Source organism: Homo sapiens, chromosome 13 (genome assembly GCF_000001405.40).
Source record: "Homo sapiens chromosome 13, GRCh38.p14 Primary Assembly".
Lineage (NCBI taxonomy): Eukaryota > Metazoa > Chordata > Mammalia > Primates > Hominidae > Homo > Homo sapiens.
This window is the reverse complement of record NC_000013.11, coordinates 110156801-110183122: the sequence shown is the minus strand read 5'-3', so window position 1 is coordinate 110183122 and position 26322 is coordinate 110156801. Positions and strand designations below refer to the sequence as shown.

At 46.6% G+C, this 26322-nt stretch overlaps 1 protein-coding gene across 1 annotated transcript in view; it reads left to right on the top strand.

Annotated features, from left to right (window-relative positions):
• The window catches only part of COL4A1 (collagen type IV alpha 1 chain), a 158195-nt gene that overhangs the window by 124035 nt on the left and 7838 nt on the right, over positions 1–26322 (top strand). The window contains exons 28-49 of the mRNA NM_001845.6: positions 26–130; positions 1734–1831; positions 3702–3852; positions 4087–4200; positions 4892–5059; positions 5192–5281; positions 6086–6238; positions 6399–6497; positions 6610–6699; positions 7766–7905; positions 8374–8500; positions 8597–8677; positions 9125–9223; positions 10353–10403; positions 12391–12576; positions 13361–13494; positions 15893–15965; positions 16820–16891; positions 18133–18261; positions 19562–19660; positions 20681–20893; positions 21754–21931. Coding sequence (NP_001836.3) covers positions 26–130; positions 1734–1831; positions 3702–3852; positions 4087–4200; positions 4892–5059; positions 5192–5281; positions 6086–6238; positions 6399–6497; positions 6610–6699; positions 7766–7905; positions 8374–8500; positions 8597–8677; positions 9125–9223; positions 10353–10403; positions 12391–12576; positions 13361–13494; positions 15893–15965; positions 16820–16891; positions 18133–18261; positions 19562–19660; positions 20681–20893; positions 21754–21931 — 2650 coding nt within the window. The remainder of the gene's footprint in view (positions 1–25; positions 131–1733; positions 1832–3701; positions 3853–4086; positions 4201–4891; positions 5060–5191; positions 5282–6085; positions 6239–6398; positions 6498–6609; positions 6700–7765; positions 7906–8373; positions 8501–8596; positions 8678–9124; positions 9224–10352; positions 10404–12390; positions 12577–13360; positions 13495–15892; positions 15966–16819; positions 16892–18132; positions 18262–19561; positions 19661–20680; positions 20894–21753; positions 21932–26322) is intronic.

Genomic DNA, 26322 nt, shown 5'->3' with positions numbered 1-26322 from the left:
TGACTGTTGGTCTTTCTCACCACAGGAGACCGAGGCTTTCCCGGAACCCCAGGAAGGCCAGGCCTGCCAGGAGAGAAGGGCGCTGTGGGCCAGCCAGGCATTGGATTTCCAGGGCCCCCCGGCCCCAAAGGTAACCCTGCCAGACGGACCCGAGCCTTTGGTCCACCTGTGACTTCTGTGAGAAAAGAGGAGGTGGTAGACATCAAAACACCACAGAAGCTGGTGACCGCTGTTCAGGGAGGCTTTCAGAAGAGCCCAAGCAGTGCTGAGCCCAGTGATTTCAGGAGCTTCTAGGCAATAGCTGCCTTGCAGTGTAGGGTTTGGTTGGGAAGATGGGACGCTAAGGCTGTGCAAGCTGCATGGGCACTGCCACCAATGGTGCCCGCTGAAACCCACCCTCCAGGTGTTTGCTTTTTATCCGTGAGGAAGACTCGCAGTCCACCTGAACACAGCCAGGGTGGGTTGGGAGTTGGGGGAGCGCCCAGGGGGAGGTGCAAGGAGTCGCAGGGAGGGGCCTTTGCTCCGAGGGGAGGAGTCCTACCGGTGTTAGAGCCGTCACTTCCTGCTGAAAACTGGAAGGAGGTGAGGAGGGAATTTCTTTTCCCCCTGCTTTTCACATTTCTTAGGTCTACTTGTCCCTCAGGTAGACCTTGATCAACACACTTGTCATCACAGACCTTCTGTTCAGGACTGAGGAGAAGGTGCTGTGAGCACAAAAGGGACGTGTTGTGTAAGGAAGTTTGTCTTCGTACAACACACCACGCAGCCACACTTAGGTTGAAATCTCCTCCAGGCTCCCAGGCTTCTTACCCAGAGGCTCCAGGCCCCATCCACCCTCACTGCTGTAGGCTGCTAGCTTGGAGAACAGGAGACGGCAGCCCCTTTCCTCTGACAGCCACGCAACGCCCACCCACACCACGGCTGCTTCCCTCAGGCTGGGCGGGCAGCAGAGCATCCCTGTTCAGGAGGGCCAGGCGCTGAGGCCTCGTCACACTCACAACTCCCTCACATTCCACCATTGCCTCACACAGTGCCTCCTTCACCTGAGGCCGTGACCCATGTGACATGGAGTTGCTTGGCTTTGTGGCAGTGAGGAGGACAGACCCTATCTGTGCAGCAGCCTCACAGAAGATGTGATTCGGGTGTGTGCCACTGCAAACTTACAAATTACTGGACATCGGAGACCTCAGTGTTGCATACAAAGGGTCTGAACTAGTGGCTGGCCAGCTTCATAGCCCATCAGAGCTTCCAGAGCGGGGCCCAGACAGTGGGCAGGTGTCCTTCAGTGACAGATCCTGTGGGATCTTGAAAAGTGGGCCTGCCTTATAGACCCCTGGGGTCTGCATTTCTAATGAAGTGATGGTGGTGACCTGCCCCCCCAACCACACCTTGAGTAGATGAATAAAGTGCCCTTCTCACCTGCAGGCGCCAAGGGGTATATTTGTTTTGTTTGGGGAGAGTAGGATGGGAAAGAAAAGTTTGAAGAGAGCAGAAGAAAAGGAAAGGAGAGAGAAAGAGGAGGGCAGAGGTGCTGGAAGAGACAGCAACGCACCTGACCCCTCTGCCGGGCAGTCTCCCCTGGCCTCTTCCAGCCACCTCGGAAGGCCTCCACAGTTGACCTTCTCAGATCAGGTCGGCATCTCTGGGCAAGACTAAAAGTGAAGAAAGTGGGGAACGGCATTGTAATCGCAATGATTGTTTGTTTGTTTTTTTTTTTTGACTCTTTAAAACAGGTGTTGACGGCTTACCTGGAGACATGGGGCCACCGGGGACTCCAGGTCGCCCGGGATTTAATGGCTTACCTGGGAACCCAGGTGTGCAGGGCCAGAAGGTGAGTGCCAAGCATTCCCTCCATGACCCTTCTCCCCCATCCTTGTTATTAGTTGGATGGAAAAAATGCAGGTTGTGAACGTCCCAGGACATGTTGGGCCAGCAGATTTTTGTTTTTGATGAAATAACATAGAATAGAAAGTATCAGAGAACGTAGCACATGGAAGTAAGTATTTTGAAGGGAAACACTTGTTTTGATTTTATGAAACATTTGTTTCAATTTTATGAAATTTTATGACAGACATTTTCTTGCCTGTGTAAGCTGAAACTCAGGGTAAAATATGTTTCTTACTGTGAGAAGCAGATGAAGGCTGTTTGAAAGCCACTGTCCTGAAAGAAAGCATAGTCACCCAGGATGGTTTCTCAGCCTCAGCACTACTGGCATTCTGGGTTCAATAGCTCTTTTCTGTGGGGGGCCACCCTGTGCCTTTGTAGGGCTTTTGACAGGAGCAGCCCTCCCTCCACCTATGGGTCACCAAAAGAGCATCCCCCTTCCACCCAGTCACAACTGAAAATCTCTCCAGACATTGGCAAATGTCACTAGGGCGATCAGATTGCCCCGGCTTGAGAACTGTTGGTACAGGGTGAAGTCAGGATTCTCCTTGCCCTCAAATATTCTGCTACCAACTTGCCTATACTTGAAATTCTGCTCAGCAAATGTGAGCGACTACCGATTAGATCCTTTCCTGTCCTGATTGTAAGGAACCAATGTGAAATTGCCAGAAGGCATTGGTACCAAACGGGAGAAAGGGCCAACGGCCATCGATAAACGTTGCCAGTGATGGACCCAGGTGGGGCCTGCTCCCTGGCCCTCAGGAGAGGGCAGATGGGCACCACAGGGGCCGTGCCTCTGGGATCCCAGGGGGGTTTCTTCCGGAGAAATACCTGACAGCAGGGTGCCCTCCTCTGGTGGCTGAGGCAGAAGAGAAACCTTTGGACCTTTGTCTTTGTACAACCCGCCACCAGCTTCCCCTGATAACCTACGTTGCATTTGAACATTTAGTCAACCGCGGCAACTTGCGGATCATCTTAAACTTAGTGCAAGACTCAGGAGTTAGTAAATGCCTAATGGAATGGGAATGAAAGATTTAATTTATGATTAAAAATACCATGCTTTTTCAAGCATCCCCTTGATGGAGTTTGTTCCATTTTGAGAATTTCCTTCTGGGACAAATAGGGAAGTTACCACTGCCCACTAATGTCCAAATCCTCCCTCTCTGGAAATATCATTTGCAGACAGGGGACACCGGTGGAGCCCTGTGATTTCATGGCCACCTGCTTGCTTTGGAGCCTCACATCTATGCCTAAATCCAGGCTGTTTCCAAGGCACCTTCACCCTTTATTTTAATCATCTGTATCTATCAAAGCCCAGTGACTCATGCCATAGTTTAAAATGCTTAATTTACTGTGAAACCTTCATTAATCCAAAAAACTAAATAACTGGTGTCCATGCTAGCCCTGGAACCTTGCCATCTCTTAGGAAGAACTCCATTAACTACTCACAAATCATATTTGGCATTTTACCGGTTACTCAGGGCCAGTGCTTTGTCACAGGCACCAGGCTGCAGAGTTGAGGGGACAAGCTCAGGTCAGAAGACTTGAGAAAAATGTCATTTATCCGTGGGGAGCCTTGCTTTTCCTCCTTTGTAAAATGAAAACAATGAAAGTTACCCACCTATGGGGCTTGTGGTGAGATTGAAAAGATATAATAGGTATGAGGAAGCTTTGCAAACGCTTGAAAAGGGTTGAGCAGATAATATTCTTACTAAATGCATTGGCAGTATCTGTTAAGTCTTCACTTACGCTATTGGTTTGATAAAAATACTGACTTTGCAAATCAATTTGCTTCTCTGTGCTTTGGGGATTTTCAGGGAGAGCCTGGAGTTGGTCTACCGGGACTCAAAGGTTTGCCAGGTCTTCCCGGCATTCCTGGCACACCCGGGGAGAAGGGGAGCATTGGGGTACCAGGCGTTCCTGGAGAACATGGAGCGATCGGACCCCCTGGGCTTCAGGGGATCAGAGGTAACTTCATGCAGATCAGTCTGGAGGGTTTCGAGGACAGGATGTGCTTATTTTTGCATTCCCAGAGCCCCTACCGAGTATATTTGATATGTATTTGTTGAACGAACGATGCAAATCTTAGAGGCCTAGAGCTCGTGGCTTTCCGTTGCTGGGGCCATTCGTGTGCATGGGTCTCCTAGGCCGGGAGACGTGCCACTGCTCCTGTACAGCTTACTCTCAATTTTTCTTCTCCAGGTGAACCGGGACCTCCTGGATTGCCAGGCTCCGTGGGGTCTCCAGGAGTTCCAGGAATAGGCCCCCCTGGAGCTAGGGGTCCCCCTGGAGGACAGGGACCACCGGGGTTGTCAGGTGAGTGACATGCTTCTAGAATTATCTGTTCCCAAAAGCATGCTTTTCTGAAGCATGGGGGATGAGGCCGGGGTCCCTATAAAGTGAAGCTTAGCACAATGTATGAGATAAAAAGAGAAAAAAATAAAACTCGAGTTTGTGAAAATAGGTTTGATTGTTTGCTTAAATGTAGTCCCAGATTCTTCTCCCACCCACTGAGATGATGTGCCAAACAAAGAGACCTTTCCTTTATTGTGTACTCCGTCACGTTTCACATTTTATTCTAACTGATGTCTCTATATTATCTTTCCATAGGACGGTTAATTAGTGGTGGATAATTTCAACTAATTGAGTCCATGTCTAGAACCTAGCTTTGCCTTTGATCATAATAATCATAGAATTAAGGTGGTGCATGGAAATTAGAGCAAAACTAGCCCTAGTCCTAAGTACTGCGACAAGGCAGTGGTGGTGCTTAGGGTGGCCTTGCTGACTCTCAATGACAGGAAAGGGGAGTGCTTTTCTTTTAGAACAAGAGCCATTTGATTATCCTGATGACCCCAAACACCAACACCTAACAGATGATCCATTCAAGTTCCCAGTGTGGGCGTGCTCACGGGCTTTCTGCAGAAAGTCATAGTTAAACAGAGCACTGTACATTGTAGATCATTCTGTAAATTCTGCTAAAAGTTATTTGTGTTTCACCCAACTGCAGGCCCTCCTGGAATAAAAGGAGAGAAGGGTTTCCCCGGATTCCCTGGACTGGACATGCCGGGCCCTAAAGGAGATAAAGGGGCTCAAGGACTCCCTGGCATAACGGGACAGTCGGGGCTCCCTGGCCTTCCTGGACAGCAGGGGGCTCCTGGGATTCCTGGGTTTCCAGGTAAGTGATTTTTGAACTTCTGCCTGGATCCATCATGAAGACATGGGCCTCACCTTATTCTTTTTATGACTCAGCATTTACTGTCAGCATTCAGAGCAAGAAAATGTTCACAGTCCTTTCCTTTGGCCACAGGTTCCAAGGGAGAAATGGGCGTCATGGGGACCCCCGGGCAGCCGGGCTCACCAGGACCAGTGGGTGCTCCTGGATTACCGGGTGAAAAAGGTAGGGGAGCTGATAACCCTAGAAGCTCATTTTGTGTCTATTTCTCGATGCCACTTGGGAAATTCTCAAGTTGTCATAGATCATATTTCCCTTTAAGACGCCTACAAAAGAAGTTAGGAACATCAAGCAGAAGGCTGGGAGACCCCCTTCTTCCAGTAGGATTCCTGGTGCTCAATGCACATGGGGTTGAAACTGTGCTTGGCCAAGCAAATCAGAAAGAAGCTGGGCTTTCCTTCTTGGCACAGATGAGATTCTTCTTGTGAGAAATGGTGGAATCTTCAGCCATGCCAAGATACAGGGACCGAGTCCTTAGGCTCAGATTAACAACCTGCGCAAGTTTACAAGGCTTCGTCTTTATTTCTTATCGTTATTTGAAGTTGTTCCAAAATAATGTCTTTTACAAAGAAATACTGTAAATATGACACATGAAAAGGTCATTTGTTTTGTAGAATGATAAAATTCCTGTTCTATTATTTTGTATAGAACTGAGGGGCACTATGAATAAGAGTGATAAAGATATGTAGGAAGGAGAGAAATGTAAGTTATCTAAACCTGAAAGCCAAGTCACATGCAGTAGAGTTATTAGCGAATAATGAATTGTAGAAAATGGCTTTTTACTGCTCATTTACCTGGGGTTGGATTCTTCTGTGTCTCAGACACTGGCCATTAATGCCATTTTGGACAAGTTATGAGTGCTTTGTAGCCTTTTTGCCAGCTGCTGTCCCTGTCAACAAGAACGTGAGCCTTTTGAGCACCTCTGTGACACTGGCCCAGGCTCACCAGTGCCTTCTCTTTCCTCTGCAGGGGACCATGGCTTTCCGGGCTCCTCAGGACCCAGGGGAGACCCTGGCTTGAAAGGTGATAAGGGGGATGTCGGTCTCCCTGGCAAGCCTGGCTCCATGGATAAGGTGGACATGGGCAGCATGAAGGGCCAGAAAGGAGACCAAGGAGAGAAAGGCAAGTCCAGGAGGCTTCTCATGGCCAAGCTCGGAACCACAATGTGCCTTTCCTGGGTTATCGGGTCCTCCATAAATAATAACCAAACCAACCTGCGTTTCTGCAGCAACTTGCTTGCAAGCAAATGCGGGTCATTGCTATTTTCTTCTCTGATGTGTAGGACAAATTGGACCAATTGGTGAGAAGGGATCCCGAGGAGACCCTGGGACCCCAGGAGTGCCTGGAAAGGACGGGCAGGCAGGACAGCCTGGGCAGCCAGGTACAGTGTGGAGCTCCGGTCCCCAGTGTGGCAAGGGCTCAGGATGAGGCCTGTGTTCCCCAGCTCTTTCTGTAGATGTCAACCTGTCAGACTGCTTTCTTTATGGTTCTAGGACCTAAAGGTGATCCAGGTATAAGTGGAACCCCAGGTGCTCCAGGACTTCCGGGACCAAAAGGATCTGTTGGTGGAATGGGCTTGCCAGGTAAACTGGATTTAGAAGAGGATTCTTTAGCATGTGTGCGTGTGATACTGGTAGGGCATGTCTGCAGAATGAGATCCTCTTCAGCTGAGACGGACAGAATCCAGGCACGTGTGTCTTTCACATGAATTCACATCCCCAGCTCTGAATGGTCTCCTGCTCAGGGATGGATGACATTTGGCTGACAGAATGGCCATTGCTAAGAAAACTCACCATCTAATGGAATAAAACATGGGCTGTATACAGTCAACTTTTGATGATCTCCAAGTGACCATCCCCTTGTCTAGGATCTCCCTAAGAGACGACGGCTTCTCCATCCAGGCTTGTCAGCCTGAGTAGCTTATGGCTCCAGAGCCCTTTGTGTTAGTTCAGAAGAATTCTCCGGACTCCTCTGCTCCAATCCCGGACTAGCCTTAATGCTTTGCCATCAGTGTCTATTGTAGTGAGAGCAGCCGGGAAGAGGAGGAGAGTGCGGGAAGGGCTGGGTGGTGATGGTCCTCAGAGCTCACTCAGAAAGGGGGAGAGTTCAGATGGGAAGCCCATCTTTCCATCTCCTCTTGAGTCTTGACCAGGTGCTGTTATCACTTTAATTAAAATATAAGCATCTAGATTGCTGGTCATGCCTATGTGTGAATAAGCCTGGCTACCAGCATGCATCACAGAACCGAGTGTGCACAGACTCCGGCCTGCCCGCCTCATAGTCCCTGTGACGTCTGGCTGATGAGAGCTGGCTGTATAATAAAGAACATAAGATCCATTTTTATTCTGTTGAGAAAGTAAATATTCTAGGTAGTTAATGTATTTCTTCCCTGTCTTATAACATGATGGTCTTAAAGGACGGGAGAGACATTTCCTAGCGTGGCTCTGATGTGATCTGGGTGACTGACGTGTTCTGGGTCATGAGCCGATTGATACATGAGGGATGTGCATTCTTGTATCTCAATCTTGGCTGGTTGTGGGGGATTCACGTTCTTGTATCTCATTCTTGGCTGGCTGTGGAGGCACTTTTTCATTTGTAATACCAGCACTAGCTAAGCCCAAATCAAGTTTCAATTGTTTGTGTTTATAGGAACACCTGGAGAGAAAGGTGTGCCTGGCATCCCTGGCCCACAAGGTTCACCTGGCTTACCTGGAGACAAAGGTGCAAAAGGAGAGAAAGGGCAGGCAGGCCCACCTGGCATAGGCATCCCAGGGCTGCGAGGTGAAAAGGTAACCAGCGCTCTGCGTGGAAAGGTCCCCTTCTCCCAGCTCAGTGGAGATGCTGCCTGAGAAATGCTCAGCAAATATCTCAGCACACTCAATGAGCCATAACACACAGGGAGTCCCATAAGGCAGCACAAGTCGCCTCTCCTTCCCCTTGTATTCACTACCTCTCCCCCAAGGAAGAATCTAGAGACTGGTGAGAGGCTAAGGTGGGAGACAGCTGTCAGTGGGATAAAACAGAGAGGATGGAGGACGAAGAGGAATGGCAGGTAGAAACCAGATGGTTGGCTCTACTGCTCTTAAGTTTTCCTCTCCATTCAGAAGTGGACTTTGATTCTTTGATGAGAAATCTGGAAATGGAGTTTTGCAATGCAATATTCATTGCACCAAAATGTATACCATTATCTATAACATGCCTACAGATGCATGCCCATGGACAAATGTAAAGTTAATATGCCTGACTTTTACTTGCAGGGAGATCAAGGGATAGCGGGTTTCCCAGGAAGCCCTGGAGAGAAGGGAGAAAAAGGAAGCATTGGGATCCCAGGAATGCCAGGGTCCCCAGGCCTTAAAGGGTCTCCCGGGAGTGTTGGCTATCCAGGTAGGTGAGGGGGGCTTCTCTTGGACTTGGGGAATCTAAGAAATCAAAGAAAAGCCCAAACTTATGGATGTTCTGGTGTTTTGTTTTTTTCTTTAGGAAGTCCTGGGCTACCTGGAGAAAAAGGTGACAAAGGCCTCCCAGGATTGGATGGCATCCCTGGTGTCAAAGGAGAAGCAGGTAGAGGGCCCTCTTTGGGACACAGCCCGGGCACATAGAGAACAGTGGCCAGGGGATGGGAGGCCCCAAGGAGTTCCCATCACAGACGGGGAGCAGGGAGGCCAGCTGTCCTGTCTCCCATCTTCAGATGGGCAAACTGAGTCTAGTGCAGGTTACAGGATCTTTCTGAGGTCTTGTCACTAGCAGGATCTAGGACCTAAATCTCCAAACTGTTTTTGTGGCCATCATGGAGTTTTTGTCACCAGCTTTTGAGGGTCAGGGTTTGGTGGTGTTGCTGAAAGCACGCAGGGTCCTTTCTGAAGGGAAGTCAGAACTGACCTCAGGAAAACCAGGTGTGCTTGGGAGGGAACAGCTCCCTTAAAGGATGTCAGCAAAGGGCCATTTTGTATGGCAGCTAGGGTGCTGTGAGAGGTTATGCGGGTGTCTGATGTGACTTTTCTCTTTGAGGTCTTCCTGGGACTCCTGGCCCCACAGGCCCAGCTGGCCAGAAAGGGGAGCCAGGCAGTGATGGAATCCCGGGGTCAGCAGGAGAGAAGGGTGAACCAGGTATGGCCCAACGCCCCATTCCCTATCAGAATCAGCAGTGTCCACTCCCAGAGACCTGCAGACTGCCTGTGTTCAGTGAATAAAGCTGGGCACAGAATGGCCCCTAGACTGCACATCCCTGCAACTACTTAAACACTGATGTGGATGTGTGGAGTAGAGTGGGATGAGTGGAGGGGAAGAAGGGAAGGGGTATTTATTATCCCATAAATACTGAGGGCATCTTCCCCTGAAATAACCTGAGCTCTCAGTGGTGAGTCAGAGACACATAAAATACCTGCTGTTAGAACACTTTCCATTTCCCTTGTGGTTGCTATGACAAAACAAAGCAAAGCAAAACAAAACTCTTTTCTTTGCCCAGCATTTCCCCATTTGAGGGGAAATGGTTGGAAATATTGGTTGGCCCCTGAGTCTGCTCCTGTCACTGGTGGGCTTTAACTTGGCCATAACTTGGACAAAAGTGCAGGTGTGATGATGACAATCACATACACAGTAATATTTGTATTTAATGCAAGAGAGAGATAAACACACCATTTGAAGCAGGTTACCCCTGACTTGGGGGGACACTGGGAGGACCACCAAGAGCATCCACAGCTATTGGTGCTGGCTTTCTTTTCATTTTTTTCATTCCATAACTTTATATTCTATACATTTGTTTTTCTATACAAACAATTCATAAAAATACCCCTGCACTCCTTTCCCCCGATTTGAATCTTCCCTCAAGCCCTTTGCTGACGTTTGTCATCTCCCCAGCATCTGCTGCCCCAAATCTCTTTGGCTTTCCCCACCTCCCTGAGAATAGCAATTAGTGGATGGTTGTCTGAGAATCCCATTTGCTTATCTCCAGACGGCAGCAGGAAACAAATACTCATTTGCACAGATCATTTGTGCTAAATGCCGTGGTGGTTCTGAGCTGAAAGGTACTTAGGAAAAAGTACTAAATTAGGAACATTCAGTCAAGGGTATCTTATAACTGTAGGAATATCATTTTATTACAAGGGTGCAATTAACTAATATCTATGTACTCCACAATATACGTAGTATTATTGCAGAGTTGATAGTGCTTTGTGTTGTACCTGCAGATGGATTGTTTAAGTAAAGAGAAACGTGGCATTTTACCCTCATCTTATAGGTCTACCAGGAAGAGGATTCCCAGGGTTTCCAGGGGCCAAAGGAGACAAAGGTAATCTTTGCTCACTGTGCTCTTCCTTTTCAACCAACCGCTGCTGCCTGATTAGCAGAACAAGGGGCAGTGTCTTCAGGATGAAGCCCCATGCCTGTTGGCCAGGCAGCAACGGGATGGAGGATGGGTGCTGAGCCCAGAGGGCAATGCCTGCAAGACACATGTGGTTCCCTTCTAATTAATGGATCAAAATGGCGTGCAGTACACTCATGATCAGAATTATCTTTTACTTGGACTAATTTTGTAAAAATCCAGCAGAGAGGCGAGACCCCTGTCATTTTTATGCCTAGAAGGTCATCAGAATATTGAAATTCTGACTTTCTAGAACTGGTTATACTTATGTGAATGCAGGACAGTATGTAGCACACACCACGAGACAAAAACATGCCCTGCGCAGCCACGATGTGCTCAGTACTAAGTGCAGCTGAGAGTTGGCCAGGAGCTTGGGAAGGCAGTCTCTTCTCTCAGAGAGCTGAGCATTTCATGGGAAAGCAAAGGGGACACAGAAAATACAAGGCATGTGAGCTGCACGACACTGAAGAGAAGCCACAGGTGGCCGCAGCCAGGAGCTCACACACAGCATCCATGGGCATGCTTATGGCCCGTGGCTGGGCTGGCTGAGTGATCCCACTCAGTGGGAGGATTCAGAAAGCCCTGGAAGGCCTTGGACTTCAGCTGAGAAGGAGCAGGGGCACGGAGGTGTTGTTTCTCCCACCCCCTGGTTCTCCCCGAGACCAGCCCAGAGTGTTTCCTTGGCAGGCATGTAGTCTGACACTGGGAACCCCTGGGTTGAGAAGGATGGCCTGGTGCCGGGTGGGCTGCCTTGGGAATGGACACTTCCCTCTCCCTTAACTCACAGAATCCCTCAAACACAGAGCCCCTTGCAAATGCACCTGCTCAAGGGGTCGCTGTGGGCTGTTCCTGCCCTGCCTTTCCTACCTTGCCATGTGATCCCGCACACTCCTTTGGACATGCTGCACTGCCCTTGCACAAACTCTACGCAGCACCTTGCGTTTTCCACTCATTGCTGTGTGAAATAGCAGGGAGAATCCCCAGGAGAAGAGAATCCCAAATGACCACTTTAGGTCTTGACCCTATTTCATTCCCTTTTCCTTTGTTTTGGAAATAACCTTAGAATTTTGGCATTTTTATTGGTAAGATTTGGATACTATGTTTAAAACTAAACATAGAATTTCTTTTTCCTACAAGCTGTTACTTTTTAATTTTTTAAACCTGCTCTATTGAAGTTTCACTGACAGGTCATAAACTACAAATATTTAAAGTGGACAATTTGATAAGGCTGACATAGGTCTACACCATGAAAACATCCCCACATTCTAGATAGCAGGCAAAGCCTTCCCCCAAAAGTCTCCTCCGTGGCTTCATAATCCCCCCCTCCTGCCCTCTCCCCATTCCCCAAGCAACCGTCCATCTGCCTTCTGGTCCTCTAGGTTAGTTTGCATTTTCCAGCAGTTTACAAAAATAAAACCATACACTTCGTAGTCTTTTCAGCCTGACTACTCTCCCACGACATAATTCGTTTGAGATCCAGCCCAGTGGTTGCTCACTTCTTTCTATGGCTGAGTAGTGTCCCACTGCATGGATATAACATGATTGGCTTGTCCAGCCCATTCATGTGCTGATGGAGTGAGGCTTTCGTTTAGCAGTGCAGTTGCTGCAGATGTCTTTAAACACAATTCAGATGCCTTTGCCATAGAACACGTCTCGTGAGAAGTATGAAAACGATAGCTGGGTTCCTAGCATTCTGAGCTCTTTTTCCAGCCAGGCCATGGTCGGATTCTAGTGTGTTATTAAAGAGAAGGAGGGATCGGAGCCCTTGCTGCAGTTTCCTGTGGTGTCCCTGGAAGCTCCCTCTGAGCGGTACCTACAGGATGAGGCACGCCTCATCCCATCTCTGCCGTCCACGCTGGAGATTACTGTTCTGCTGCTGCGTTTCCCATCACCTCAAACTGTTTTTCTTGTTCAGGTTCAAAGGGTGAGGTGGGTTTCCCAGGATTAGCCGGGAGCCCAGGAATTCCTGGATCCAAAGGAGAGCAAGGATTCATGGGTCCTCCGGGGCCCCAGGGACAGCCGGGGTTACCGGGATCCCCAGGCCATGCCACGGAGGGGCCCAAAGGAGACCGCGGACCTCAGGGCCAGCCTGGCCTGCCAGGTAAGGGCATCTCGCCAGGGGCCAGGGCTGAGGACTGGGACAGAATTCACAAAAGGAAATAGCGTAAAAGAAATAGTTAAATTCTCAATTGGGCTTTTTTATTTAGAAGTCTGCAGCATTTATTACAGCTTGAAATTGTGTTTGGCCCCCATCGAGTCAAAGCTTTTCTTGTATCCTTTCTGTCAAGGAATTTAAGTAATTAGGGAGATGCAAGAAAGGAAATGATTGGACAAGCCTGGACTCGTGCCCCGTCGGTGGCGTTGGACTTAAACCAGCGCAGCACTTGGGCCCACTTGTGGGTTCTGGTGAAGACCCCCGTAGTGGTAGCACAGATGCCCGGGCACCACTGACCGCAGGCCATTTTGGACACGGAGACAGTGGCATTTCTATGTCTGTCCTTCCTTCCTTCCTTCCTTCCTTCCTTCCTTCCTTCTTTCCTCCCTTCCTCTCTCCCTCCCTCCTTCCCCTCCCCTCCCCTCCTCCCTCCCCTCCTTCCTCCCTCCTTCCCTCCCTTCCTTCCTTCCCAGACCTTCCTCAATTTCTGTCTCAAGGGTTCACATTGTCGGTCCAGTGTTTTATCAGAGATAGTAGTGTTTCTATTCCCTCCCTCCCTCCCTCCTTCCTTCCTTCCTGGACCTGCCTCGATTTCTGTCTCAAGGGTTGTCACTGTTGGTCCAGTGTTGTATCAGTGAGGGGCCGTGGGTGGCAGTATTGATAGCCCCACAGCCCAGGGACACTTGTGCATATTTAACCCCAAATGTGTGGCTTTCTTCTCTTCCATTAGGACTTCCGGGACCCATGGGGCCTCCAGGGCTTCCTGGGATTGATGGAGTTAAAGGTGACAAAGGAAATCCAGGCTGGCCAGGAGCACCCGGTGTCCCAGGGCCCAAGGGAGACCCTGGATTCCAGGGCATGCCTGTGAGTTATTGATTTGTAGATTTTTATTTTTAAAGGAGTCTTTTCTGGCCAGAAGTATTCATATGTGTCTATGTGTGTATGTATTTTGTGTATGTATATATATGTGTGTGTGTGTGTGTGTGTGTGTGTGTTACACTCCCACATCCCCACTAAATCAGTTCTTTCTTTCTTTCTTGCCAGTAACCCACATCTTTATTGGCATCAGAGTAGGAAACTATTGTAACATTTTTTTACAATCCAGTTTTCCAAGAACCATAAAAGGGAAATGTTATACTGCTGGAAATTATGGCTCAATGCCTAAATTTAAGACCTATTTACAAACTCAATGTAAAAAGCAAGCCAATGTTGTTTTGCAGAGAACAATTCTGTAAAACTAGCCCAGCCATCTCTTAGGACTGGCAGGAGGACAGGGAATTGCAGTTGAACAGTTCAAGTCATAAAAGATAACCAGCAATATTCCATCTTTCTTTACTGACCTGATCCAGATACAGAGTCTAAGTGGTGACTTAGACAAGCCTTCAGAAGAGCACATCTCAGGGTGCAATAAGTGACCAGCAGCCTTGTGTATTTCTGTGTGTGTGTGTGTGACTTTGGCTCTTTGCTGCACCTGAATATATAGCCCTTCTTAGTGGTGGTCATGGATCTTTGGTTTGATTTTTAGCTTAACCATGTCCATGGCTAAAGGATTGTGTTTACGTGGCTCGCTCATTCAAATAGCTGGATTAGCAGAGCTTTATTCTCTGTGTCTGTCTCTCTGTTTCCTCTATCTGTCTCCATCTGTCTGTCTCTCTGTCTCTCTCTAACACACGTTAGGAGAAAGAGAGAGTATATCAGGGGAGATCATGAATAGGAGGGATTTGAGACAGACCTCTGCAGTTATGTTGGAGCAAGCGGGGTTCTTCTGTAAGTCAACACATGTTCTCCCTTAAAGGGAAAGCTTTGAACTGCTCATCAGCAGCAGAGACATATCTTAGAGTCATCAGACTACTTTCTCAAGGATGGATACAGAATAGCTAAGCTTGCTGGGTGCAAAACAATACGTGGTGCTGATTTACTTCTGAATCAGTAAGTTATGAAATGCTTATAAATAATTATGCAGAACTGGCTATAAGGAGTAGCAACAGTCATGTTTACCCATTCCTTGTCCTCAAAGCTGTGTATATCTCCACAGTATAGCAAATGTGTATGTGAATGTATTTTTGGGCCCCTATTGCTATATTGCAGTTTTCCAGTAATGTAAGCCTAGGTAATTTGTCAAATATTTATGTATTCTCATTTTTATTCCTCAGTAACATAGAAATATACCCCATTCCCGGCTGGGCCTGGTAGCTCACGCCTGTAATCCTAGCACTTTGGGAGGCCGAGGTGGGCAGATCACCTGAGGTGGGGAGTTCGAGACCAGCCTGGCCAACATGGCAAAACCCTGTCTCTACTAAAAATGCACAAGTTAGCATGGTGGCTCATGCCTGTAATCCCAGCCACTTGGAAGGCTGAAGCAGGAGAATTGCTTGAACCTAGGAGGCAGAGATTGAAGTGAGCCGAGATGGTGCCACTGCACTCCAGCCTGGATGACAGAGCGAGACTCTGTCTCAAAAAAAAAAGAGGAAGAAAAAGAAATACACCCCATTCCTGGTGCCAGTCAGTGTCTGTCTGTCTCTGTATACATACTTATGTATAAATATGTGTTTGTATATATGTTTATATACATATATATTTGTTCATGTTATTTTGGTTTGACACTTTTAAAATAAGGCTAAGAAACAAATCTACGTAAGAAATAAAACAACTTGTTACATGTTGCTGTCCACGACTTGAGAAAGGAACGACTTGTTGAAATGGAAAGAAAATGAGCCCCTATTTTAAAATACACGAATATTGCCACAGTATAAAGGAAAATACTCGTTCCTTAGCATTTCTTAATTTTCTTTGCATATTTAAAATCAGTTTTCAGATAAGACATGAAACTAATTCTAAAGAAAACTGATTGCACTTGAGGATTAAGGGGAAAGTTTTCAGAAAAGCTCGTTGGCTGGTGCTGGATGGCTATGTTGCCGTCACAGGTGTTGAGGGGGCCCTGGCTCTGTCTATGGCATCGTGCTGTGAGCTGGAGGTGGCAAGGGCAGGACATTTGCCTGCTCCTCAGGCGCTTCCCCTGTGGATGGACAAGCAGAGGAGATACATGGGAGGGAAACAAATGCTTCTACTTTCCAGCTTCCCGATTGAGGCACATGCAAAGGTGTTGTTATTCTGTCATTTAAGAAACCACAAGGCACCATTTGTTCACAAATGTGCTTTCCAGAACATTGAGGGGCTGTTTCCATTTTCCAACTAGCAGGTTACTGGAGAGACTTAACCTACATATCCTGAGCAATTCCCAACCTCCTCTTTGCGTGTCTAGGGTATTGGTGGCTCTCCAGGAATCACAGGCTCTAAGGGTGATATGGGGCCTCCAGGAGTTCCAGGATTTCAAGGTAAGACAGCACAGACCTTGCTGCACAGCCTTTGCAGCAGCAGACGCTGTGTGAAGAGCTTGCTAACCTCGGGCACCTTAGCACTGATAGCACCGCTGCCATTATAGCACGAGATACTGTTCTCTTCAAATTAAAAATGGCATTTCTGTGTGGCAGCCCAATTTGTATAATCTTATGGATGCCAGTGTAAAGACATTCTGATTTTCTTATTAAGAATCAGTGGATCATTAATATCTCAATAAGAAGTCATGGATTTGGGCTATTCATTAATTTATTCATATATTAAACACACATTTTTGGGCTGCTTACCAGCTCCCCAGGCACTGCAGTTTTTACTGCTGAGTCAGATACACGTGAAAGGTGAATAAAACAGGTCGCAGCCTCAAGGTGTCTTGTGGTCCAACTGGGGACATGTGTGAATCAGATCGGGACCAAAAACAGTGCCCTATGCCCCTCCACTAGTTGGATCATTTTACAGTTGGCTGCATGCTTATAAAAATGTAGCTTCTGGGTTCTAGAAAAAAGAGTTTCATTAAAAGTTTTACACACGTGACCAGAAATAATGCTGTTTTCTTCCTTGAAGATAAATTGGAAATTTGTTCACTGTCTATGTGTGCATATATGTGTATATATGCATATATGTGTGTATATGTATGTGTATATGTATGCATGCATAAGCAGGTGTATGAATGTGTATATATGGGTATGCATATATGAGTATATGTGTGTGTATATGCATTTATCTATACATTTGTGTACATGTATGTGTGTGCACTAGAGAGAGATATATACACACACATATTTGTATATCATTGGGAATTCTGTGCAAGACAGTGCTTTCCCTCTGCTTTTAGGTCCAAAAGGTCTTCCTGGCCTCCAGGGAATTAAAGGTGATCAAGGCGATCAAGGCGTCCCGGGAGCTAAAGGTAGGAGAGTTTGTTGATCTGTGGACACCTTACTGGTGCTTTGTGAAAATGTAAAAGCCAGGAATGCACAGAATTGGGGTGTTTGGTTTTTCATATGTGAAATGACTCAAAAATCATTAAAAACAATTGATAGGGAATTCTTTGCAGCAAGTCAAGATTCCTGTAGTTGACATTTTAACCAGCGACTTGTCTGAAAGTAGAATCTGATAAATCCAGGACTGAGGGAACTCCAGGGGAGGGGTGGCCGAGGTTCTCACTGACAGGCTCAGAATTCAGAAACTTCCCAAGGCTCTCAAGTTAGCCTGAAATCAACCACTGAAAGTTATAATAGGAAAGAAAATCAATCTTGCACTTAGAGACGGAGTGCATTCCTGCTGCACAGTAAAGAATTCTTCCTGGGAAAGGTGCTGTTGGCTTCTCCACCGGTGGGAGCCTACAGCATGAAAGTCGCCGAAAACCACATCATCTCAAAAGGGAATGGTTTAAGCACAGTATTCATCCTGCTTCCTCTTTACAGCAGACCATACTTCTAGGGCATCATTTAATTTTCCAAACCATGTTTTGGGAGAGAGAATGAGAAACCACATGCCCTGAGAAGTGGAACCCAAGGAAGGAGAGGGGAGGGAGGGTGTGTGGAAGGTGAGGGAGGGTGTGTGGAAGGGGAGGGAGGGTATGTGGAAGGGGAGGGAGAGTTGAGGGTATTGGGCTGAAAACGGGGAGGCTGAGGGGAACTCGCACTTTGTGTGGTTCTTACCACATGCCAAGACTTGCCATGCAGAAGAAGGATTAAGTTCATTCGTCACTCAAAGATCAGGACCAGTGTGATACTATACAGTAAGGCAGGTTTCAGATGAGTGTGGGAAAAATGTCCTAATCGCAGAGTGGCACTCTCCACGTCAGAAGCGGGGGCTGCTTGGGAAGAACAAGCTTCTCTCCCTGCTGGGAGGGCTGGCATGAGGCTGCAGGGCAGTTGTCAGGGGTCCCAGAGCCCAGAATGCAGTGGGAAGTTACGCTGATGCCCCAATGCCTTTGCCCGAGAGTTCAGGATTTCAGGTTAAATAATAAAGATGTGCAGATTGGACATGTTTTGTGAAGATCTGATTACCTGGGTTTTGATAATGACTTTACCTTTGAGAAGTACGTTCCATTTGGATAGCTTCACCCGGGATTCTCCTTCTAAAGTTGTTTCCGCCCCAGTATGTGGACAGTGAAATTGATCAATGCCTTCCCTATTCCCACAGGTCTCCCGGGTCCTCCTGGCCCCCCAGGTCCTTACGACATCATCAAAGGGGAGCCCGGGCTCCCTGGTCCTGAGGGCCCCCCAGGGCTGAAAGGGCTTCAGGGACTGCCAGGCCCGAAAGGCCAGCAAGGTGAGAAGGCTTGGCCTGTGCAGGGCGGTATGGGGAGCCCAGAGGGGCAGTGGTCAGAGTTCCTCCTCACCCATGTATCTAAAATAAGTTTCTGGGTAATGATTATACACACACATATGAATATGAGTTTCTTACCTCCCTTCAATGCATATCAAAACCTATGACATTTTTAAAGGGACCTAAAAAAAATCCAGAAGAAAACCCAGGAAAAGCTAGAGGAACACATAACAACACATCTGTGTTCAGTTAGAAAAACATGGGCTCAAAGAACCAGATCATTACCTTTCCCCCTCCTGCCTCCCGCTCCAGATGGGGGTGGCATGTAGCAATCTGGAATGGTAAAAATCGGTGCTCTCCATCCATGCCCCCAGGAGCGCTGCCTGATTGGCACTGTCTGTACAATTCTCTGTTATTTCCTGAAACCCTAACATAGTCTTCTGCTTATTTGAGTGAAACATCTCCTATTTGAAGAGCTACTGATAAGGAGTGGGTGGGAAGTAAAGGAGAATGAAAACATTTTAAAGTTGAAAGCATCAAAGAAAATTTAATGATACTTAAGAATAAGCTAGCCAGGCTCACTGGGTCACACCTATGTAATGCCGGCTTTTTGGGAGGCTGAGGTGGGAGGATCACTTGAGCCCAGGAGTTCAAGACCAGCCTGGGCAACATAGGGAGAGTCTGTCTCTACAAAATAATAATGATAAAATTAGCCAGGTGTGGTAGTGCATACCTGTAGTCCCAGCTACTCGAGAGGCTGAGGTAGGAGAATCGCTTGAGCCCGGGAGGTCGAGGCTGCAGTGAGCGGTGGTCACACCACTGCACTCCAGCCTGGGTGACAGAGCGAGACCCTGTCTCAAAAAAAAAAAAAAAAAAAAAAGAGAGAGAGAAAGAAAGAAGAAGAACAAGCTATGTACATGAAAACAAAAAAACTATCCATGTTGGTATATCTGTTGCCTAAAAATTGAGACCCCAGTATATGGCTGAGAGGGAAAGTTATCCAGTCTCTCATTCCCTCCACATCACCTGCCTTTTCCAAACCAATCTGCCAAACAGCAAGAAACCAGGGAGAACTCAGAACGAGGTGCCCAAACACACACCCCCTTATGAATATCCAGCTGCTTCTGCAAAGTCTGTACTCGACTTTGTGGGAAGCAACTCCTGGCTGTCCGAGAAAACGTTCTCATCTGCAGTGAGACTTTATGCTTGGCTCCTTGAACACTGAAAAGGACATTTAAGAAGGGAAGAAAGAGATACAGCTTACTGCCATACAGGATCATAAATTATTTTTCCTCTGCCTCAGGTGTTACAGGATTGGTGGGTATACCTGGACCTCCAGGTATTCCTGGGTTTGACGGTGCCCCTGGCCAGAAAGGAGAGATGGGACCTGCCGGGCCTACTGGTAGGTTGCGAAACTTCCAACGTAATTACCCTTGACCAGGATCTTTGGGATAGAAGGAGCAGAACCAGGCATGGGGAAACAGCAGAATGAAGTTGGATATATCACTTGACAGATTTCCGAAGAAGTCTGTTTCTTAGAAGAAATAGAATCAAATAGAAGAGCTGAAGAAGTGTTCTTTTTTCTGTGTAGAGACAGATATTGATCAAAGTGTACGTTTCCCAGATGTTGTTGAAAGGCAGCCAATAGTGGTGGCCCATGTGGTTTCCTAAGTGGGATGTGAGCTGCAGCTGTGAAAATTCTATTTCAGCAAAGGACAAGGGAAGTAGAAATGAAAATAATGCCAGCATTGGCCCAAAGGCATGGGATGAACTTGATCTGCTTCCTTAGGAGAAGGCACACTCGAGTGTCCGGTGAAGGCTATGATGCAAAAGGCTGAGGCCACTGACTAATTGAACAAAGAGCTCAGCCCAGCAGACCTGGGCACAGTTTGGCACGTGGCACAGTTAGAGAGGGGACAGAAGCAGGCCTTGCCTGCGAGGTCCCTTACTGCTCCATTTCCATACGCAGGCTTTGGGCTGCTATGGAGGAAGAAACACCTTAAGATGAGGTTGTTTAATAATTCTATGATAGTCCTCCCCAACAGGAGCCCCACGATTCCGTGTGAATGACATGCACAGAGTCACGTCATTCATTTATTTTCATTTATTCATATATCCATTTTCATATGTGTCATATATTCATTGAACTAAATTGTTCAAGCATCTGCTCTGCACCGAGAACTGTGCTTATAAAAATATCTTGAGGTGGCAGGTAAAAAGAAAAAGTTAAGACACCATGAAGGAGGTAGGCTGCTGTATTTAGTTAGCCATGCATTCTTTTTAGACTTTTTTGGTAACATGAATAGGTAGGATACTTTGTGGAAATATAAAATATTAAAAACTCTTTGGAGAAAATGATTTTGAAAGCCTTTAGGGGAGCGTGTTTGTAATTAGGGAAACTAATTTGTCTCCTATCTTCCAGGTCCAAGAGGATTTCCAGGTCCACCAGGCCCCGATGGGTTGCCAGGATCCATGGGGCCCCCAGGCACCCCATCTGTTGATCACGGCTTCCTTGTGACCAGGCATAGTCAAACAATAGATGACCCACAGTGTCCTTCTGGGACCAAAATTCTTTACCACGGGTACTCTTTGCTCTACGTGCAAGGCAATGAACGGGCCCATGGCCAGGACTTGGGTAAGAAGCCTGCAGATCCATGCATTCATTCAGTGTAGGTGTGTTGAGTGCCTTCGGTGTGCAGTGCTGGACTCGCCTCTGCTGCTGCAGTGAGGGCAGTAGCGAGTGAAACACTGCGCCATGAGGGCGGTAGCCAGTGAAAAAGCAGCCCGGCCCCATTTCCCTCCATTGATTACAAATAATCGGTTCAACAGCTGCTGTATTACTAATGGCAAGCCAAGAAATGTGGAGACTGAATCTTCGAAAATCTTTAAATTAATAAAACTTTAGATCTCATCTTCAAATTATCAAGTAGGATCAAGATTCCTGGAGTGCACTTAACAATTTGCATTGATGCGGCTTAACCATTGCTCTTTGTAAAAAAAAAGGTCCATGTTATCCTGTCTGAAATTCTCTACAGCTGCTGAGCTCTGCTCCTCTAGTTTAGATCAGCAGAAAGCTACATATCTGTCCTCATTATCTTAATCTGACCCAGATATCCTCCACCAAACTGTGTTTTAATTTTCTCTGCCTTTAACTTTTATCAGGGTTAGAATCAGCAAGCTGCTATAGAAAGAGCATCTGCATTTTCTGCAAAACTGTTGTGAAAGACATTGCCCAATTTGTTACTATCCATCGTATAACGAACCATGTGTTAAGTTCCTTCTAGAATTCAGCTTTAGGAAAAGGTTTCTTTGTGCTGGTAAACTGGTTTTGTTTCCTTTCATCAAAAATGTCCTACATAATCCTTTATACATTTCCATTTCAGTGATTATGTTGATTATATGTTTTTGCTTGTTGTCCAGCTGAAATCCACTTTACATAGAGATAGATTGTGAATTATAAAGGAAACATCTCACATTGTCTTCTTCCTTGTCTAGGCACGGCCGGCAGCTGCCTGCGCAAGTTCAGCACAATGCCCTTCCTGTTCTGCAATATTAACAACGTGTGCAACTTTGCATCACGAAATGACTACTCGTACTGGCTGTCCACCCCTGAGCCCATGCCCATGTCAATGGCACCCATCACGGGGGAAAACATAAGACCATTTATTAGTAGGTGAGTCGAGCATCTGTAGGAACAAATGCAAAATTGAAGAGGAAAAGTCTCTAGTCTGGACAAGCATATGTTTTCTATTTTTCTCCAAAACGTTGAATCCATTGCCATTTAGCTTATTATTTGTGATATTCGAGTTTTGTAATGGAAATCTACCATAAAAATTATTTGACATAAAAGTCAGTTGGCTGGGCACAGTGGCTCATGCCCGTAATCCCAACACTTTGGGAAGCCGAGGCGAGAGGGTTGCTTGAGCTCAGGAGTTCAAGACCAGCCTGGGCAAGATGACGAGACTTCATCTCCACAAAAAATACAAAAGTTAGCTGGGCGTGGTGGTGTGAGCCTGTGGTCCCAGCTACGAGGGAGGCTGAGGTGGGAGGATCACTTAAGCCTGGGATGTTGAGGCTGTAGTGAACTGAGACCACACCACTGCACTCCTGCCTGAGCAACAGAGTGAGAACCTGTCTCAAAAAGAAAAAAGAGTCAGCTATTCTCTTTTAAAATTGTGGTGCAAAACCATGGTGAGATAATGCCAGGCTTGCAGAGATAATTTATATTTTGCCTGACTCACTGTGGTGGTTGCCTTTCCTCCTGTGAGCAAGGTGATGCCACTCGATTCTTCAGCAAGCGTTGGAACAGTGTTGCTCAATCTTTCTTTTTAAAAAGTAACAGCTTCCCCAAGGAGCCTTTTAAGACATTGTTTTCTGAATCATCCCTGCCCCTATGAATTTTTTTTTTTTTTTTTGAGACGGAGTCTCGCTCTGTCACCCAGGCCGGACTGCGGACTGCAGTGGCGCAATCTCGGCTCACTGCAAGCTCCGCTTCCCGGGGTTCACGCCATTCTCCTGCCTCAGCCTCCCGAGTAGCTGGGACTACAGGCGCCCGCCACCGCGCCCGGCTAATTTTTTGTATTTTTAGTAGAGACGGGGTTTCACCTTGTTAGCCAGGATGGTCTCGATCTCCTGACCTCATGATCCACCCGCCTCGGCCTCCCAAAGTGCTGGGATTACAGGCGTGAGCCACCGCGCCCGGCCCCCTATGAATTTTTTTAAAAGTTATTTTTAATTTTGGTAAAATGGACATAACATAACATTTACCATCTTAATAATTTTTCAGTGCACAGTGTAGTGGCATTAAGTACATTTGCAGTGTTGTTTTACCATCACCGCCATCCGTCTCCTGAACTTTTTTATTTTCCCAAACTCAAACTCTGTCCCTGTTAAACACTGACTCCACATCCCTCCTGCCAGCCTCTGGTGACCCCCCATTCTACTTTCTGTCCCTGTGAATTTGACCCCCGTAGACACCTCATGTAAGTGGAATCATACAGTATTTTTCCTTTTGTCACTGGCCTGTTTCACTCAGCATAATGTCCTCAGGGTTCATCTATATTATAGCATGTGATAGGATTTCTTTCCTACTTAGGGCCAAATAATATTTCATTGTGCATAGGTGCCACGTTTTGTTTCTCCATTCCTCTGTCACTGGACACTTAGGTTTTGTCCACACCTCAGCTATTGTGAACAATGCTGCTATGAACATGGGTGTGAAAATATTTCTTTGAGAGCCTGCTTTTAATTGTTCTGGAGGTACACCCAGAAGTAGAATTGTGGGATCATGTGGTAATTCTATTTTTAGTTATTTGAGAAACCTCCATGCTGTTTTCCACAGTGGCCACACCCTTTACATTCCTGCCACAGCGCACAGGGTCCCAGTTGCTCCACGTCCTCACCAGCATGCGTTGTTTTCTGCGTTTTTGATAGTAGCCATCCCAATGGGTGTGAGGGGGCCCCTATGAAATCGTAATACCGCAGACATACTGTGTATCTCCTCTGTTTGTGTATTGTATGTATATCTGTGCTTTATACATAAAATTATACAGATTTATACATAAAAAGTTATACAATAATACACACACTCCCCAGTTCCACCAGTTTTTGCTCCCTTGGGTGATATTGTACCCATCGAAAATGCATGTGTTGGACTGAGCGATCTCCCTTGAGTGTTTATCCGCACTAATATCTGAAGTACGTTTTCAGGCCCCAGGAGCCTCCCTGATAGGAAGTAAGATGGAAAACTGAAATTATTACCACTGAAAATAACATGACTGTCCTCTCTTTGCCTCTTTCCTTCTAATTAAAAGTTTATTGCTGGCCAGGCACAGTGGCTCACGCCTGTAATCCCAGCACTTTGGGAGGCCAAGGCAGGTGAATCACCTGAGGTCAGGAGTTCGAGACCAGCCTGGCCAGCATGGCGAAATCCCATCTCTACTAAAAATACAAAAATTAGCTGGGTGTGGTGTTACATGCCTGTAATCCCAGCTACTCAGGAGGCTGAGGCAGGAGAATTGCTTGAACCCAGCAGGCGGAGGTTGCAGTGAGCCAGGATCGCACCATTGCACTCCAGCCTAGGCGACAAGAGCAAAACTCTGTCTCAAAAAAAAAAAAAAAAAAAAGTTTATTTCTTAGAAATATTCAGAAATAATAGGAAAGTGGCCAGTGAACAAATTCATTTGACTAAGAAGCTATTCCGTAATTTTACTTTTTACATATTAAGATAATGATAAAAAAAGATACAAAGTTTTTTATATTCCCTTTAAAGAAATCAGCAGTCTTTGAATATGAAGAAAGATGTAGCAGTATCAGGTAGGAAGTGCCCTACATTCAACAGAAAAGGGAAAAGGGAAGCAAATGCTTGGAGTCACCCCTGGAGCTCCTGCCCAGCTGCCCCAGGCTGTGCCTTTAGCCCAACTCCTTTCATTAGATGAACATGCCCTGTTTGGGGGAAGACCAGGGTTACGTGCCAGGCAATTCCTGGCAGATGACAATTTAGTGAGAGAGCTATGCCACGTGGGACCATGGACCAGAGGGCTGGAAGGTGCCTCCTATGTAGGAAAATCTTAGATCTTTGATCCCCTTACATTAAAATATCTACTGACAGTTTTCTTTGATTTTTTTTGAGCTATAAGAAAACTTATTTTATAGGTCTTAAAATGGAGAATATCATTCATTACACTTCCAGAATGGCACTTTTCAGAATGCAGGCAATACTTCACCTGTGTGAGTGGCTGCCAGATATTGACTGTTTTGAGACTTTTCTTGCTCAGAACCATGCCTGATAACTAGAAGGAAAAGTAACAACTTTTGTGGGTTTCTTTTTTTAGCTTCTTTTACACAACAGGTAGAAAAAGACTATTCATTGATAGGTTTCCTGTTTACTTTCTTGGCAATGTTGACATTTGACCTTGATTCAGAGCTCCTTGACAGGAGCTCTGGCATGCCCTGGTGGTAGTCCAAAAACAGGTCTCAGAGAAGCTGTGTGTCTGAGACCAGCATTTCTGTGTGATGCATTCCTCTCAGTAAAACACCCCTGGTCTTTGAGCACCAAGAGTCTAAGTCTCTGTATGTTTTGATCCTGAGATGAGCTTCTAAAGCCAACGGGGAGGTGCTAAACCTTAGAGTCTAAGCAATGGGGCACAGCATTTCCCACTTAACATGTCATTGGACCAGAAAGTCCTGAAATGTCCCAGGACTTTACATTTCCAGATTTTTATGTCTTCCTGTTAGTTGACACATCGAAGCTCAGCATGAAGGGACCTTCCCAGGCATGTACTTGAAGCTGCTGCTTTTGCATCAAGTCTGCCTCTACTTCCCTCTCGTAGAGAGGCTGCCCCTTTGTCCCTGTCTCTGAGCAAGCAGGTTTCCACGGTTACTGAACTTAGTGGTTTCCACGACTTCTCAGGACTTACAGGTTCCTTCTCAGCTCTTCCCTTTAGGGAGGTCCGAAAGCTAAATTTTAGAAACAGCAAATGACACAAAAGCCTTCGTTTTGAGCAGAAAAGGTGGCAGTTTTCCAGCTTTCATCCGATAGTAGGGCACAATTTTCTAAGTACTTTCTAGCTTTCTGCAGACAAGACTCACGAAATAAATACTGATTGCTAATTGCTCTGACGAAAAGACCGCTGGATTGAGAGCAAGGAGAACTGCATTTTCGTTCTGTCTTGGACACAACTAACCCTGGCCTTAGTTTCTTCATATGCAATATGGAGAATTTGGCCATGTGAATTTTAAGGAATCACACAGCTCTTTAAGCCTGCAATGGGGCAGGACCCTTGAATCCCTCAGCCCAGAGACAGTCTGAAAAAGACAAAACCCTTCCCTCCAGGCTGTATTTCTAGGTCTCGTGTCTAGCAAACAGATGGTGGCAGATGTATAAGGCCAATTTCAGTCACTGTTGTTTAACTGAACCTTTTAATTCATCTGCATTTGGGTGAATAAAATAGAAAATTGCACACACCACACATACACACACACACAGACAGACACACACACAAGTCCATGGAAAATCAAATGACTCATTCAGCCCTATTCCCCCTTCTGATCCACGTTCATGCA